The sequence below is a fragment of the Homo sapiens genome, chromosome 11, assembly GCF_000001405.40.
Source record: "Homo sapiens chromosome 11, GRCh38.p14 Primary Assembly".
NCBI classification, from domain to species: Eukaryota; Metazoa; Chordata; class Mammalia; order Primates; family Hominidae; genus Homo; species Homo sapiens.
Window position 1 is genome coordinate 131,915,192 of NC_000011.10, and position 17,750 is coordinate 131,932,941.

The 17,750-nt window shown below is 43.8% G+C and overlaps 1 protein-coding gene across 41 annotated transcripts in view, besides 1 other annotated feature; it reads left to right on the top strand.

Annotated features, from left to right (window-relative positions):
• The window catches only part of NTM (neurotrimin), a 966,208-nt gene that overhangs the window by 544,577 nt on the left and 403,881 nt on the right, over positions 1-17,750 (top strand). The gene's annotated exons all lie outside the window — the stretch shown is intronic.
• Positions 16,479-16,645: a silencer, noted in NCBI's record as "fragment chr11:131801564-131801730 (GRCh37/hg19 assembly coordinates)". NCBI's record gives its function as "represses an EF-1alpha promoter that drives an FKBP-Casp9 reporter gene in an ReSE screen in K562 erythroleukemia cells {active_cell/tissue: K562}" and the evidence as "EXISTENCE:reporter gene assay evidence [ECO:0000049][PMID:32094911]".

The window sequence follows — 17,750 nt, forward strand, 5'->3', positions numbered from 1 at the left end:
CAGTGGCAGACCAGTATGCTAGCTCAGGACTCCATTCCTTGACTTTGTACACCAAGCTTCCCAGGACTATTCAGGACCCTTTGGATTCGTGTTCCTCTCATTCCTCTGTGGCACTTAATGTCTTCCCTATTCATTTTGGCTTAGACCCTGTTTTCCAGTGTTATCTCTCTGTCTTCTTTCTTCCCTTGGGCTGCAGAGCACCTCTTGGAAAGCAAGAATCATGCCTTGTCATGGCATGAGCACTGTGTGCTGGCAGATGCTTACTCAAACAAAATGAATGAAAGCCAAACAACGATATCCCCCAGCTATATTCAGTTTATCTCCTTACCACATTTCTCTATCATTTTATTTTAAATTTCAACTACGGTCAATCAGAAATGTATTGAGTGGTTCTTTCAAGAAGGGGACTGTATTAGTCCGTTAGGCAGTGCTGACAAAGACATACCCAAGACTGGGTAATTTATAGAGAAAAAGAGGTTTAATGGACTCACAGTTCCACGTGGCTGGGGAGGCCTCACAATCATGGCAGAAGGCAAAAGGCACATTTTACACGGCGGCAGATGAGACAATGAAAGCCAAGAGAAAGGGGAAACCCCTTATAAAATCATCAGATCCTGTGAGACTGATTCACTACCACCAGAGCAGTATGGGGAAAACTGCCCCGATGATTCAATTATCTCCCACTGGGTCCCTCCCACAACACATAGGAATTATGGGAGCTACAATTCAAGATGAGATTTGGGTGGGGACACAGCCAGACCATATCAGGCACTGAGCTGGGTGTTTGGGTGTGGAAAGGCGTACGGCCTGGACTTGGCTTTTGGGGGCTTGGGTCCAACTGGAAAAGCTGGCTGTGGACAAAGAGGTCATGGACCTTGTGAGGCAGAGTACACCATGAAAACGTGGGCGATCACGCTGTCCGTGGCTGGAGCAGAGCCCCTCTGTTGGAGTGAAGGCTTTCTGTGGGTTGGCAGGACTGCACTAGCTCCTAGCTCCTGGGTGGAAGTGAGCAGACATCAGTGAGGAATCAGAGAGCCCCAGAAGCCCCAATGCATGGGTGTCATTCACTTAGAGACCTTCACTAAGCATCAACACACCTGTCACTTGGCAGTTTCAATGAATGCTTTCCACATTTCAGAGATTCCCCAATTAAGGCAGCAGCTAGTAAAGTGCATTCTTTCCTGGGGATCACTTGGCAGGTGGGTATCAGAGGCTGAACGCTGCATTCCATCGCGCCTCTAGACCATAGGCTTAGCGATTGGATGATGTTGTTTTTCCCGGGTGAGTTAGGAATTGAAGGTCTGAGAAATGTATGTAATTTTGGTTGAGTTTTGATATGGGACTCCATGGAATCACACAGACTAAATGTGGTTTTGATACTTGAGAGGACGCGGGAGTCACCCTCTAGATGAAGGAAGCTGCGGCACTTTGCTCATGTCATGTAAGGTGCTTGGAGTTTCATTTGATAAGCAGATGGATTCTCTGGTAGTCCCTCCAGCTACTCCACAGCCTCTTAAGGGCGGAACTAGGCCTCCTCCAGGCTTGCCTCCTAATCCGCAGCACATGGCTTGGCCTGTGGAATTTGCCAATAAAATCCGAAGGACTCTCATCCTGCCTTTCCTTTCACTCACTCTGTTGTGGACACCCATAAACACAGCTTATTCCAGCTGCAAAGCGTTTCCTCTTGTGGTCCGCCCTGCTGGGAACACCCCTACCCTGATCTTCCCATGGACAGCTGTTTCTTGTCATTTTGGCCTAAGCTCACAGAGAATTCCCTCCCTGATGCCTTTCCTGATACCAAATCAAAATAATCCTCTACCACTACCACCAGTCTTACTCTGGCATATCATCCTGGAGTTTTTCTTCAGAACAATCATCTCCATCTGAAGTTATCCCATTCATTATTTGGTTATCTGTGTATGGGTTGTCTTCCCCAAAGGGACTAAAAATTCCTTGAGAAGAGATATGCTCTGTCTTGTTAGCAGTGTCTGGCGGATAGAAGGTGTTCAATAAATTTGTTGCATGAATGACTGCAGGAATGAAGGCCTGAGATCACGTCTTCTTCTCCTTGGAGTCTGTGTCCTTTTTCCTGAATTGTCTTGTGTTGTCCTTGCCTTGGGCATGTTACTTCCTCAGTGTCATTTCTGACTGGGCAGCTGTGTGAGGCTGCTCCTGTGGAGGTGCTGGAGACAGGTTACAAATACATAGAAGTCATTGAACTTGTGTCTGTCTGTCCAGGCCACAGATGAGGTGTGTTGGTTGTCCATTATTTCATATTTGCACCCATGACACTTACCTTCCTTCTGCTGGGTCACCTCCCCACCCAGTCCTTAAGTCTTTGAAGGAACAATGATAGTCAACTCCAGGGAAATTAGCATTTTCAAGGTAAGGAGGGACACAGAAAAGCACTCTGCTCATCCTTTCTCTCTGTTTGTGGAGTCTGCTGGCAGTGGTTGTGGTGGTATAACTATTGATCCGTTGTTTATGAGTTCACCCGTTCAGAATAGCAATGCTACTCAGGAGGCCTGTGCTGCTCCCACTGCCCTGCCCCCTCTCAGGACCCGCCACTGGGCACTCACCTCTGGGCTTGCCAGGCATCCGGCTGGTGTCCTGTGGCTCTGAGGAGCAGGCACAGATGGGACCAAGGAGGGAGGCTCCTGGAAGCACATTCAGCTGTTGAGGAGCCAAAAACTAAAATGGGAAAACTAAAAACTCAACCAAACATAGGGCAGAAGGGGTAGGAGTATGCCAGTTGTCACTGAAAGCTAGAGGAGGCTACAGGGGGCCAGCTCAGTTCTCTAACACCCCTCATCTAAACCGTAAGTGCTTTGCAGAAAAACGTCTCCTTTCTCCCTCTTTTAAATGCATTGCGTTCTTGAATTTGAAAGGTTTGCAGAGAGCTGGGAGGTCAACCACCTGGTTTTACAGATAGTGGAAGTAGTGATAATCAGTCTTGCGTAAGGAGGCCTTCCAGAAGGGTGAGAGGGCCGGCAGCCAGTACACTTTCCATCCCCAGGCTGTGAGCCCTCACTTGGGGCTATGCATGCTGAAGGAAAGGCCATGTTTCCCTAAGTGCAAAAGCATCCTCCTGACCATGAATGCTTTCAATGCATTTAGCTGACATTTATCACCGTATTCTCTCCTGACTGCTGGTTTAGTCCGTACCACACCTTGCGTTCTTATGCTTTGACTCTCATTCCATGTGGGACAGCTGTTTGCTGTGGGTCAGGTCCTGTGCTGAGCAGTTTACCAGAAGAACCTCATTTAATCCTCACAGATACTCCATCAGGTGGACACAATGATTACTCTGATTTTACAGAGCAGGAAACCAAAGCGCTGAGAGGCACAGTGAAGGTATTTTCCCAGCTCACATACTCAGGTGGGTGCTGAGCCTGGGACTCAAGATGGGTGGTGTCTGACTCCTAGGCAATCCCCCTCGGTTCCATAGTACTGGTCTTGTTCTGTCCCTTGTATTCTTCATTGCCAAGTTCCTCTCCCACTAGAGACCCAGTGAGTTTGGTTGTCCCTCCTTGTCGTGGTGCACAGGAATCCCCTCTCCTGAAGCATGAGGAACAGGGCCTGGGAGTGTTTAAGGTTTCATGTCATCCATGGCGTGGAGACACAGGGACCCAACCGACCTCTAGAGGTCCCTTCTACTCACAGAATCCTGCAATTTCTATAGTTTGTTCAGAGGAAGACTCTTATTCCAGGTTCTTCCATTGATCTTTGGCTTTAGGTATCAGCAATCTTGGACTTTCTCACCTGGAGTTAGTAATACCATGAACATTTCCACGTACTTCTCTGGAATGCAGTATTGAACCAGTCAAGGCAGACACCAATTCTAGGAGGATTCTACAGGCCAGTCAGTGGATCTGGATGCCATAGCACCAGGGGAACAAGAGGGACCAGCTCCAAAACGCTTCCTTTTTTTTTTTTTAAATTAGTAATAGGCATCTCTCCTGGGGAATCTTGTAAAAAAAGATAATTAATGGTAATGGCATGTTTGTTCTCTTAGGTTGAAAGTCTCCACTGATGAGTAAAATAGAACATCGTCCTTGTGTTATTTAAGGTCATTTTGCTTCCTCAGGAGTAAGTTGATGGGTTCCCACTGTGTAATAGATAACTAATACTAAATAAATAATAAGCAATACTACCAACATCATTATAGATGGTCAAATATTTTTAGGAAACCAAGGACTTATTGGGTTTAGGATGCAATTTCAAATTGCATGTGTGAGCTGAAGGGAGAAGGAAGCAACGGGGAAGTTTACTAGGAGTACAATCATTGGAGACAAACATCTCCAACACACAAGACCTTACTGACTCGTAGGTACCAGGAGGGGTAGGCTAGAAAGAAGATAGAGTGGGAGACAGGAATCTACAAACTCTGGCTCAGGCAGTTTGTTTGATTGCAGGCAAAATTTGTAATCTCTCCACCCTGCATTTAAACAGGACCGTTATTACCCATCTCACAGTGTTGTTTTAGGTTAAAATGAGATGACACACACAAAACATAGTATATAGTTATAACTTTCTTTCTCTATATATGAATATATATGTACATATGCATGTGTGCATATATGTGTATATAATATACACACATATACCAATTTTCATTATAAACTATTGTAGCTTAAACACTTTGGCAGATATACCATGTCTTGCTTCTGAAAGATCCAATTATAGGTGGACAAATCCCCCTTTGTCCACCTATAATTGTGAGTTTTTTTGTGGTGCCTCTCCTACACATCTGTTTAGAGATTCTTCAGTTTCAAATCATTTCTTGAGATGTTTGATTTCTGAGAGGGAGCGAGAAGAAAGATATTTCTTTGTTTTTCGTAAAAAGATTGTTGCATAGCAGGTTGTGACAGTTCATGGCTCTGAAGATGCATTTCCCATCAGAAAAATTCATCCAGAAGGTTCTGTGGAGCAGGTTTTCTGTGAATTCATGCATAGATTTCGGAGTGCCAGACCCCTTTTCCTTGGAGAAATGATTTTTCCATGATAATTCCAGTGGAGTCAAATGGTAAAAAACAGGGTCTGGGATAACATGTGTTGGGGAAGAGGTAGTTTAAGACTCTCGCAGCTGTAATGTTCTCTAATTGTAAGTCTTCTCTTCATTCATATCTCCTGATGATTGGGAGGCAGGCTCAGGGCTTGAGTGGTGATGGTGAAAATAGAGAAGGAGGCTTCTTTGCATTTGGGAATTTTACTTTTGGTCAGGTCTAGGGCAACACCAGTGCATCTGGCATTAGAAACTGATCTCAGCATTCACTGATGGGATCACAGGAAGAGTCCTGTCCATTTTAACCCAATGTCAAAGGGCTTAAATTAGTTTAAATGTAGTGAACTATGAATAGCCGTCTTGATCTTTCATGATCTGTTTTTCTTAAATCTCATTTATTCACATTGTTGAATTATTTGGTTTTATTTGGGTGTATTTGGGCAACTTGCTGTCCTATCAGTGTGAAATGTTTTGGCTTAGAAAGCTTTTGGGGGGTTAGATTTGTCTTATAAAATGAACGTATGAACTAATCTTACAATCTTGCTGATGGATTTCTTAAAATAATAGAATTTTTAATGAAAACAGCATCAACCAACAGACTGATGGAAAATTAAAAAAACTAAAATTGACCTTCAAACAAGCTTTGTTGGGTTCATGGAGTCAAAGGAAGATGTATCTGTGTGAAAATAGTTTCTTAATCTTCTGTGCTTTCAAACGGCCTCTAATGTGCTGGATGAGTGAAAAAAATGCTCTCACATTCAGAATAATCATCTTTGGACAAATTTACCTGTCAGGAGGGCTCAATCCAAAATTCTAACCCTTCAGAAGCTATAAGTAAGAAAAAGAACGCATGCGAATTATTTTTAATTTAGTGCAGTTTTTATACAGAAAAGCTGGAAATAGCAATGCTGTGGTTTACGGGTTGAATTTTGTCCCATCTCCCCACCATAAAAAAATTATATTGATGTCCTAACCTCCAATAGCTTACAATGTGACTTTATTTGTAAATATGGTTGCTACAGATGTAATTAGCTAAGGTGAGGTCATACTAGAGTAGAGTGTGCCTCTAAACCAATATAACTGGTGTTCTGGTAAAAAGATGCCTATGTGGAGACACAGAAGACACGCAGAGAGTGACAACAAAGGCAGAGGCTGTAGTGATGCACCCACAAGCCAAGAAATGCCACAGATTGCCAGCAAGCAGCCAGGAATTAGGAAGAGGCAATGAGGGAAACTTCCCTACAAGTTTCAAAGGGAGTATGGCCCTGCCAACACGGTGATCTCCATGATTTCAGACTTCTGGGCTCTAGAACTGTGAGACAACACATTTCCACTGTTTTCAGCCCCCAGTTTTGATACTATATTATGACAGCAGTAGGATACTGGAACATTTGCATATTAAAAAAATAATTTTGTTAAATAATAGTAACAATCTTGCAAAGGATCGTAGATAGGCCTGGTTAGATCACCCAGTTCCCAGCTGTGACACGAGCCACTGCAGTCCACAGAGGAAGTGCCAGAGTCCAGAATGCTTCTGGGTCTCAGTCGTGAGCCCAGCCTCTCCATTACAAATCCTAAAGAAGCCAATCAGGGTGGAAATGCTTGCCCTTTTATTCCTCAGAGGCCATCAGCACAAACCCTATTGTATCTTCTCAGTTATCTCGACCACCTGAGAAGTCACAGACCCCCAACCCCAGGGCCATGCATCGTTTTCTAGATTCATATCCCAACATCCAACAGCCCAACCCAGTTACAAACCTCTTCCTCATCCTCCAAACCTTTTTACTCTCTGGACTTAATGATCTGTCACCAGCAACATTTTTACATCTCCAGTCTCTGCTTTGAATGTTCCCCCCTTATTATTATTTTTTTCTTTTTTGCTTTAGTTGAAACTCGGCTGTTCCCTGGATTATTTCCACTCCTGGAGTCCTCAAAAGTGGCTGTTTTTCTCCCACACCTTGCTTACCCTGAGGCCTGAAAGTTGGATAAACGTCCTCCTTGCTACTCATTATGGCTGCTGGACATTTCTTTTTCACCTTTCTCGACATATCCAGTTAGGGTGCAGCAAATGCCACTTGGCTCTGTTGCCCTCTGCCCCTTCCTTGCCGTGATCATCTGCCATCAGTTCTGACCACGCTTCTTCACTCTGGTCCTCCAGACCGCACATCCTGCTGCTCATCTACAGAGCCTTTTAATGATGACATTCAAACTGGGTCCTCCCAGCCAGTACCCTTGACGCAAGGCCCACTGGACCACGGCCAGCTACTCCATCCTGCCCTTCCCTCAGTCTTTCTGATCTTAGGAACTGCAAACCTAGTACATCCTTTATTTTTTTCATTCTCTCCTGTGCTTCATCTAATTCACCACTAAATTCTGTTTGTCTTTTCTTTTAAGAGTTATCCTGAATCAGACCACTTTTTACCATCTCAAGCACTACCTCCGTGGGCAAAGCCACCACCGTCTCTCCTCGGCTCTTCTGGTGGCATCTTGCCTGGTCTCCTTGTTTCTACTCCTGTTCCCCTGGAGTTTATTATCTGCCTGGCAGCCCCAGCTACCATTTCACAAGAATTACCTGACTCTGTTCAAAACCTACAGTGGCTTCTGGCTAAACTTAGAATGAAATGCAAACACCTCCATGGAGTAGAGGCTTTTTAATCGCCTGGTGCCTATGTAAGCCTCATACCACTGCCCACGTCGCTGCTGCCTCGCTCGTGGGAATGCAGAACGCTGAACTTCTCTGCTGTTCCTGGAACTTACTAAGACTGTTCTTGACTTAAGAAATGTTCTTCCCTCTCTCAGGATCTGCTATAAACTTATGGGCCTAGACCTTCGTTGAATTCATGCATCTACTCCAGTACCCCGTTTAAAAAAAAAAGGCTTTACAGATCATCCTGTTTGAAATAGCCATGTCCTCAGCCCCCATCTTTCTATCCCTCTACCTAGCTTTAACTTTCTTCATGGCCTGTAACACCTAGAGAAGTCTGTTATTTATGTATGTCTTCTGTTATTTATGTATTTCTCATTTATTGCTACTCCCCCTAAAATGCAAGGTCCACCAAGCTGCTGAGTTTATTGCTCTCATTTATAGTGATTACATTACTGCCTGGGACATGGGATCTATTACAGGATATTTGTTGAGTGAATGAAACGTTTGTTAGGAATAATAGTAAGCTATTAATAGTGAAATTATTTATCTTTTACTAGAAAGAGGAAACTCAGGTCTGTCTCTGTATTGGCATGGGATTGGGTGTTATTAAACAGAGTTCAGATAGGGTGTGCGTGAGCTGGCGTGTTTGTTTTCTAGGTCAGAGAGTGGAATGAGACATTGAGGAGGAAATTGTCAGGCAATGTGACACACTTCATAAAATCTACACATGTGGAATCTAAAGGGCCTTTAAATATCCACTTTTGCAAGGGGTTTTATGGAAAATCTAATAAACACTGGAGAATAAGGATTATTCTGCTCAAGGCCTACAAACTTTGGGGGAAGGGAAGGAAGTGAAGTGGCAGCTAGAAATCAGGCTGTGAGCCTGAAGTTTCACGCGTCATTCAATGTCCAATCTTTCATGTTAACCTTTCTTTATTAAGAGAATTGTACCTTAGCGCTCTAGAGGATAATGATTAAGTGCAGGGTCTGGAGCCCGACCCTCCTCCCATCCCCAGTTTCAAATGCTGGCTCAGCCACTGGGTATATGACCTTTGGCACATGGATTAGCCTTGCTGTGCCTCAGTTTATCATCATTTGAAGGGACTAATAATAGGGGTTCCGGGCCAGTGTGAAGCGTGAAGTACTCAGAACAGTGCCTGGCACTCTGCTCATACTTGGTGTTAGCCTTACATAGCTGAGGAAGGACCTGGCCTGCAGTGGGCCCGTGGTGGGCAGAGGGCAGGGTGTACCTCTCGTGACCCTGGAGCTATGTGTGGAAATGCACAGTGCAGGGCACGGAGCTGGGGGCCGTGGCTGACACTGGTGCACACTCTACAGTTACACAGACATCTGGTGGTGGGGTGGTTTTTGAAAAGTATCAACGCAGTTCATTGCTTTTGGCATGTGACTTGTGGTCTCGGGGCCAAGGTGACCTGGCTTTTAGTCCTGGCTCTGTCCCAACGCATCATGTGGGGCTACTAAGAAAATGAGCATTCCCAGGCTTCAGGTTCACTCTGTGAAGTGAGAATACTGCTCTGTTTCGTTCTTGAGTTTTGAGGAAGAGATTACTAGCTGCTCAAATCATATATAAGTTTTTTTATTTTTCCCCTGAGCACAAACTCAGCTGCCTTTCCCAGCCTCTTTTGAATTTAGAGGTGACCATGTGACAGCTCTACCCAAAGGAATGTGAGCCGAAGCTCTGTGTAGGTTGGCCCAGAAAAACATCCCCTGTGAAATTCTTTATGTTCTTTCCTTTCTCCTTAGACCATCTGGATGTTGATGTCCAAAATTACCTTGGAAACCTGTGTCCTGTTTGGCGAGCTCCATCGGCCAAATTCTTGAATGACAGCACAGAGCAGGGCTCACACCCCCACCCACCAGCTGGCCAGGAACCTTGTTAAATTATTACCTAAAGAAAAAACAAACTTGTATTCAGGCTTCTGAGAGTTCAGAGATGATTTGTTACAATAGCTAGCATTATCCTATCTAATTCAATACTCAACCATTATAATTTATATTTTCTGATTTCAGCTGCATAGAAATATACAGATGTAGTTTCTGAATCCAGACCTAAGCACTTATTACAATTTCTTGGCAAGACTTTTGGTGATTTTTGCATGTGTCTGAAAGTGAGAACCATGGCCTTTTCAAACGGAAGTCTCAAATGTTTGATTTTCAGTTGCTTGACTGTTTACATCTGTGGTCCAAGTAACATGTCTGCTTTATTCTACAGGAATGTGAAAACCAGTGACAAGGAAAAGTTTTACCTTGAGGCAAATGAGCACATATCCATAATGGACTTAACTCAAGACATGCTATAATTGGTGAAAATACCTCTTAGATGATAAATTACTCATTAATGGCTGGAGGTCACTTATTTAGTTTAACCTTTTGTGCCAGAAGTATTCTAATATCCAGTGTTTTAATTGACACACACTAAAGAGATAGATAGGATGATTTGTAGGCTTGTTCTCAAAAATGTTAAAGAGAAAGAAGAGAAAACCACTATTAGAGTTCCTTTTTTTTTTCTTTCTTTTCTCTTTTTTTTTTTTTTTTTTTTTAACAGGGTCTCGCTCTGTCACCCAGGCTGGAGTGCAGAGATGCAGTCTCAGCTCACTGCAGCCTCAACCTCCCTGGGCTCAGGTTACCTTCCCACCTCAGCCTCCCAAATAGCTGGGACCACAGGTACATGCCACCATGCCCAGCTGATTTTTGTATTTTTTTGAGAGACAGGGTTTCACCATGTTGCCGAGGAGGTCTCAGACTCCTGGGATCAAGTGATCTGCCTGCCTTGGCCTGCCAAAGTGCTGGGATTACAGATAGATGTAAGCCACCACACCCAGCCAGAGTTCCAAGCCTTGAAGAGAAACCAGGTGGTGGAGAAATCGTGTATGGATTTGGGTAAAGGAGAAAGGAAGCTGTGGAAAGGGGAAGAGGCTGAGCCAGAGTTGTGGGTAGGAGACGTACAAGGAATGGAGGCAATGCAGAGACACGGGGCAAGATTCAGGTGCCTCGATTCCACCTTTTGTAATTCAGGGGTCAGGGATCTTGTCTTACTTTTGTTGTTGCTTTGGTATGCTGCACAGTGCCTGGCACATAATAGGAGCTGAATGTATCCTTGGAGAATAGATGCATGTGTTTTGCTGTGTTGCTTCAGTAGTGCCTACTGTACATCTCCTATGAGCCAGGAGCTGTTCTAGGTGCTAAGTTCCTCTCTTGCAGAGTGATGTTTAGTGAAGGAGATGAGGGTTGCAACTTGTATGGATTAGAAAAAAAAGGCATCTTCTCCTAGCATGCAACTTGCACAGACCAAGTAGGAGTAGGCATTCCTCGCTGACGATGTTGTTCACTAGAGTCCCTGGCTGAGTAAACAGAGTGCCAGCTGCATTATTTTGTTACCTTCTTCAGCCCTTGAGCAGCGCACAAGCTGCACAACTGTACTTAGCAGGAACCAGCTGTCGGAAAACAAATAAGTAAACAAACAAACAACGCATCACATGGTGGAAAGTATTGGGGCAGGAAGTAAACTGTAGGTTAGGGGACAGAGTAACCTGGTGTGCAGGGAGGGGTAGGGGCTTGCACGATGGTCAAGGTGGTGAACTGTGGGGAGAGCCATGCAGGGAATAGCGTGCTGGGCAGAGTATCGGCAAGTGGAATGACCTAGTCAAAGACGAGCAAGGCAAGGAGGAGGAAGGGTCAAAGCTGAATAAGGGGCAGGCAGTCAGCAAAGGGATCTGGGGGGTCCTCGGTGTCTGTAAGTGCTCTTTCCATGTCAAGATTAAGCTGTGAATGATGATAGGAGCACAGCTCTCAGGAGATGGGAATTAAATAAAAATCCCACATAAGCAAGTAGCCCCAACACCTGTGTGGATTCACTTGCTGCGCACAGAGGCCTGGTAGTTTCCGTGTGGACTTTGTGGATTTGTGGCAACCCATATTTGATGTGTCACCCCTGCAGCACACACATCCAGCCGCGAGGATCCGGGGTTTTCTAACTGAAATGTCATCCTTCTTGGGTCCACTCTTGTCATTTTCACTTATCACATCTGCAAGTTATAAACGTTTAAAATGTGCATGATATCCAATTTGACGTTTTACCTGTTGCCATTTCCAAGATATTACATTGTGAAATTAAGCTGGCATTTTACGATCATGTATGGATGTGTGTGTAAGTATAAGTAGGCACGTATTTGGAATTAATGGACTCATAGAAATCAGAGATGGATTAGGCCTAATGAGCTGTTCAGAAGAATTATTTAGCACATATTTCATCTCTCTATTCAGTAATCAAACCTACACAGTGTGTATGCTAAGGAAGTGAGATTTTTGCCTTTTTAAAAAATTTCTTGGATTATCTCCATTTGTGGCTGAAAATTTAACATTGCATCCTAGGGCATTTTGCACCAACTTTATTAAGCATTCAGTCTGACATTTCCCTGCACCTGGGGTTGCCTTTGTTATTTAAAAAGTAGTTGCTTTCCTAGTTACCATTAATATATAATTAGTAGTTGGTGCTGGGCTCCAAGCACCACACCAGGATCCTGGCCTGGCCTTGGAGCCATTGTCAAAAACAAAATCTTGCCCAAGTCTCTAGGAAGACTTGGAGAGTTAAGCCTAGATGGGAAGTGTATATATTTTGTTTGAATTTTTATCCACAGTAAATGGATGCAGCTTTGTCTTTTCACCTAAGGCCTATGGTCACCTTCCTCTGGAAGCCACATGCACTTGACTGTTGCCACTTTGGCTTCTGCTGATTCCTTTAAGCACACAGTTTCAACAGACTTTCAAAATACTATTCACAACATGGGGTTCCGTACTTACTAACAGGAAGAAGGAAAGCAAATGTGGGATACTTGATAGTGTAGAAGGACACTTGATACCCAGAGAAGGATTTCATTGACACTGTTACAGAGACATAAAATCACAGAGCCCTGTGGTAGCATCAGAGATGGGGTCACACATAGTCAGCTCCCAATAGCCAGGAGTCTACCCTATGAATTTTCTTTACAGCATGGCTAGATACAGTATATACATATTTATCCTAAACATATATACTCAACTTATAAGTCTGCATGAAACATGTGAATTGAGAATATGTTCTATATTGGGAACAAAGGATTCTGGTGTTGGGAAAAACTTAAGCTGGGACTTAATTTGAGCTGTAAAATTATTAACCTAATCTCTCTGAGCCTTTGTTTTTTTTTTAATCTGTGAAATGGGGCTAAATTATATCTTAATACCTACCTGACAGAGTTGTTACAAAAATCATCACCATAATATTAATAATAACAACAGAAACCAACATCGGTAGAAGCACTTAATGAGAACCTATGCTTACATGATAAATGCTTTACAAGGGTTACCCAATGGTCTACCCTGTGAATTTTCTTTACAGCATGGCTAGATACTTATAATACTTATCGTAAGTATTTTTAATAATTACATTAAGACAAGATATAAATTCTTAAGGATTGTACCTGGCATATATGAGGCACTAAACAAGTTATTTCATATTGTTAATACATTCCATTAGCAAAAACAAGTTAAAATGCTTAGGCATGTATAGAGGATGCTGGAAGACGTTCTGGCTGTTGCCAGAATCTCCAGACACAAACCTTTTCTGTGGTCTCCCGTCTGTGTTTTGTCCCACTACAAACTCTGTTTGTTTTCTGTGGTCTCCCGTCTGTGTTTTGTCCCACTGCAAACTGTTTGTTTTCTATGGTCTCCCGTCTGTGTTTTGTCCCACTGCAAACTCTGTTTGTTTTCTGTGGTCTCCCGTCTGTGTTTTGTCCCACTGCAAACTCTGTTTGTTTTCTGTGGTCTCCCGTCTGTGTTTTGTCCCACTGCAAACTCTGTTTGTTTTCTGTGGTCTCCCGTCTGTGTTTTGTCCCACTGCAAACTGTTTGTTTTCTGTGGTCTCCCGTCTGTGTTTTGTCCCACTGCAAACTCTGAACTCACCATTCCCCATGGCTTGCTTAGCCTGGTTGCATTTTCCACCTCCTTCTCCCTGACTCTTTCTCAACCACCCACCCCTCAGCAAGTCAGGTGAAAATCCTGCAAACAGCATCATTCTCACCCTTTCCTTCATTTTTTCAATCAGTACAAACCTCTTGTTTTCTCATGTTCCCATAGTGTGTAGTTTAGAATCATTCAATTATTTCTTCAGGAAAGAAAGTGTTCCACATCTGCTGAGTGCCTAACACCGTTCTAGACCCTGAGACTCGAGAAGACAATGAAGAAGTAAGTGGCCGCACAATGCAATGTCCGGTAGTGCTGAATGCTCTGAAGAGGAGAGCGGCAGCCAGGGAGGGAAAGGAGGAAGTGTGCGAGTTTAGACTCCCTGGTTAGGGGAAGGCCCTCCTACGCAGGCCTTGAGTGAGATCTGATGAATGAGGGCGTGAGCCTGCCCACATTTAGGAGAGAGGTTTCCGAGGCAGATACAAAGGTGCTGAGGAGGGATCATCCTTGGCCTGAACCAACGGGGGGGCACATGTGGGCGGGGCCTGGTCCAAGCCACAGGCCTTGGTGATGGCTTTGGATTTTATTCTTCGTCTTATGGGAAGCCCCTGGAGCAGTTTGACAGTTTGAGCTGCTGCATGTTAGCAGTTTTTTTTTTTTAATTTTTTATTTTTCTGTAACTTATTGCCCTTATAAAAACTTTCCGTTTTTTTTGTATACGGCAAAGGCTGTATTTTCTTTGCGTTTTTGTGTTAGAGACAGGACACAGCCCTCGTGTAGAACCTCCTCTGCACTCCCACAATTCCCTGTGCCACGTCCATTGTTTTAAGCACTTAACTGTGATACAGGACAAAGCTCATTTCTGCAGACTTCCTCTTTTTTTTTGGTTCACACTGATTCACAAAGTAAGACGCCACTTCCAATGGTCATATCGTGAAGGTTTCCTCGAAGGATCGTGAAATTCCACGAAGTCCGCTTGCTTTCCTGGGTGAATAAACACCAGGCCGCTCCCTGGACTTTCCTTGTCGTTTGTGATCAAAGGCTCAGCTACCTCGTGCTCATGGTCCTGCGATGGCTGAAATCCGTGAAATGTCCAGAAAGAATGATTTGTCATGAATGCATCAGCAAAGAGGCTATAAGCTTCTATTCTTATTTTCTTATCTACTTTTAAACACTTTTTCATTGCTTTAAAAAAGTATATAATTACTGTTCATTTGGTGTTGATGTTATTGCCTTGCTCGGTGTTGGGGGTTGTTTAACCATTCAGTGTACACCAGTGACTTTTTGGTCTGTATTTCCCAACAATTACACTGAGTTGCAGAGAAAATATTAATTAAACATACTTCTATTTTAAAAGGCAATAATAATATATAATTCCCATTAGAAATGCATTTGAAACTTTTCTATTAACTCTTTACTGTTGTCACCAAAGCCTTCCCTTCTAGACAGTGGAAGTGAGTGGGACAGGTGGCCATATATGGTTTGAGCAGGTGGGCAGAGGAAGAATGCAGGGTACTTGTTGCCCTCTGGTTGGTCCTCCTTCCTCCATGCTTATTTTCAACCTTCTGGCCCCTCACACTGGGCCCAACTCATGCCCTGCACTCGGCAAATGTTTAATGAAATGCTTCCTCGAGGAGCACAATATTTTATGTGTACAGGGAGCCGAATGCATATTATTGCATAGTATTTTCCTTTTGTTATGAAATATTTTATATACCAGCATGTGCATAATATATCTATGTATAAAAACATAATACATTGATCACCTGTGTTCTCTTGGCACAATCTAAGAAATAGAACCTTCTATTACCTGTGAAAGTTTCTGCACTCCCACCTATTCTCTACCCTTTCTTGCTTGAGGAGATCACCACTGGCCTGAATTTTTGTTTATTTCCTCCTTTCCTTTAGACTTTTACCAAATATATAATTATTCTCAAACAACATATTGTCTAGTTTTTCTTGTTCTTCCCTCCAAATAGAAAGAAATTTTATGTATTCTCCTTCAAATGTTTTTCATTTGATGTTATGCATTTTCTAATAATTTAAAATTAACGTAGTCCTGAATGTGAACAAAGGCAGAGCTCTAACTCAGTCATTTCAGGTAATTAACTGGTCTACAACCCATCAGTCAGAAGTGCTTTGATGCTCTTTGACTGTGTGTGTGTGAGTACACAAAACACCTGCTAAAATATTAAATAAAAGCAGAAAGGCTTTGACATCAACATAGTAGTGTTCATAACGTTTCTGCGTAGTGGAATTGCGAGTGACATAGATTTTTTGTGTTTTCTCTAATTATTAAATTAAAAAATTAAATTTTGGATTTTCATAACCAGATAGGATTAGTGTCATAAAAATAGGTTCCTAGGCCAGGTGTGGTGGCTTACATCTGTAATCCCAGCACTTTGGGAGGCTGAGGTGGGTGGATCACTTGAGCCTAGAGTTCAGGACCAGCCTGGGCAAAACCCTGTCTCTATACAAAATACAAAAATTAGCTGGGCATGGTGGTATGCGCTTGTGGTCCCAGCTACTGGAGAGGCTGAGACAGGAAGATTGCTTGAGCCCAGGAGGTCGAGGCTACAGTGAACCGAGATGGCGCCACTGCAGTCCAGCCTGGGCTACAGAACAAGACAGTGCCTCAAAAAAAAAAATAATAATAATAATATATACGTGTGTGTGTGTGTGTGTGTGTGTGTGTGTGTGTGTATGTGTGTGTGTTCCTTTTGACCACACACTGATTTGTTTAGGCCATGGGGCTTTTTGCACACACATCCCCATGTGTAGGGCGTTGCACTAGGTGATGTTTGGGCTACAGAAATAAATAAGACACAGTTCCTGTCTTCCACATGCCCATGACCTGGCTAGGAATGGGGAGCTTCAGAAGCAAGACCTCAGGAGGTGACTGAGAAGGAGCCACTGCTGGTCTAGAAGGCCACCTTGTAATCTGGCATGTGGTGGGGGGTGGTGCAGGAGCACAGAAGGGACACTGGCGGTTTTGGGGAGAAGTGGTGGCGGGAAGGGGCCTGCATCTATGAGGGCCAGGGCGGCTGTGCCATGGCAGCCAAAATACAATAGGGAACTGGAGCAGCAAGAGGCCACCAGCTACAGCTGACGCATTTCTGGCGGGAGAGAGGACCTCAGAGTTGTGCGTGGCCTTCACGAGTCTTTCCCACCACGGCGGTGCCTCGATCTGTTTCCAGCTAAGCCCAGAGCAGCCAGGGCTGTCAGAACCAGGAAGACTGATAAGCGTGTCTCTGGATGGCAACGTCAGGTTCAATTTTATTCAGCAAGTATCCACTCCATGCCAACCATGTGCCAGGCACTGTTCTAGGCTTTGTGGAATCCAGTAGTTGTCAAACATAATAAAATCCCTGTCCTCACAGCACTTCCCTCCTGGTGGAATGAGACAGTGAACAAAATACATACAAAACATAGAATAAATTAACTGGTGACACATGCTGTGGAGTGGGGCGGGTCGATGGGAAAGGAAGATGAAGCCTATGATTCCAAGTAGGATGTCTAGAACAAGAATAATCCCTTGCTTATCGGTATAGTTTAAATTGTCAACAAAAACATGCATTATTTTGACATAAGAAGAAACATCAGGAAAAAGGTAAAGACCACAGTTTATTGCAATATATGCTTTTTTCAACATTTGAGGAAAAGAGATTGTACATGCTGTATTGGAAATACGTTTTAGTGTCTAAAACGGTGCAGAGCCAGAATGTTGATCTTCATTTATCACCCCAATTCTTCCTGGATCTTAATTGCCCCTTCAGAAAGAATAAAAAATGGAAGCACTTCATCCAGCTTCTGCACAGAAAGCCTGTCTCTGATCAGCAGACAAGGAATAGGAGATGATGCTGATGGTGGTGATGATTTATACCTTAATGAGCAGGCGTTGGTCATCAGTATGTGCTGAAAAGGGATTCGCTCCCTGCCCACAGGGGACTTTCCAGATGCTGCTGAGCTGGGCCTGAGCTGCAGGAGGTACAGAGGCTGGTTGGAACAGCCGATCCTTGGGGCATCTTTTAGGCCAAGGGCCTTTGGAACCGAATTGAGTGGAGCAATTTAACTGCCCGGGACACACAAAGCCTCTTAAAAGCAATGGCCGGTGAATAAGCCAGAAGCCATAAATAGATA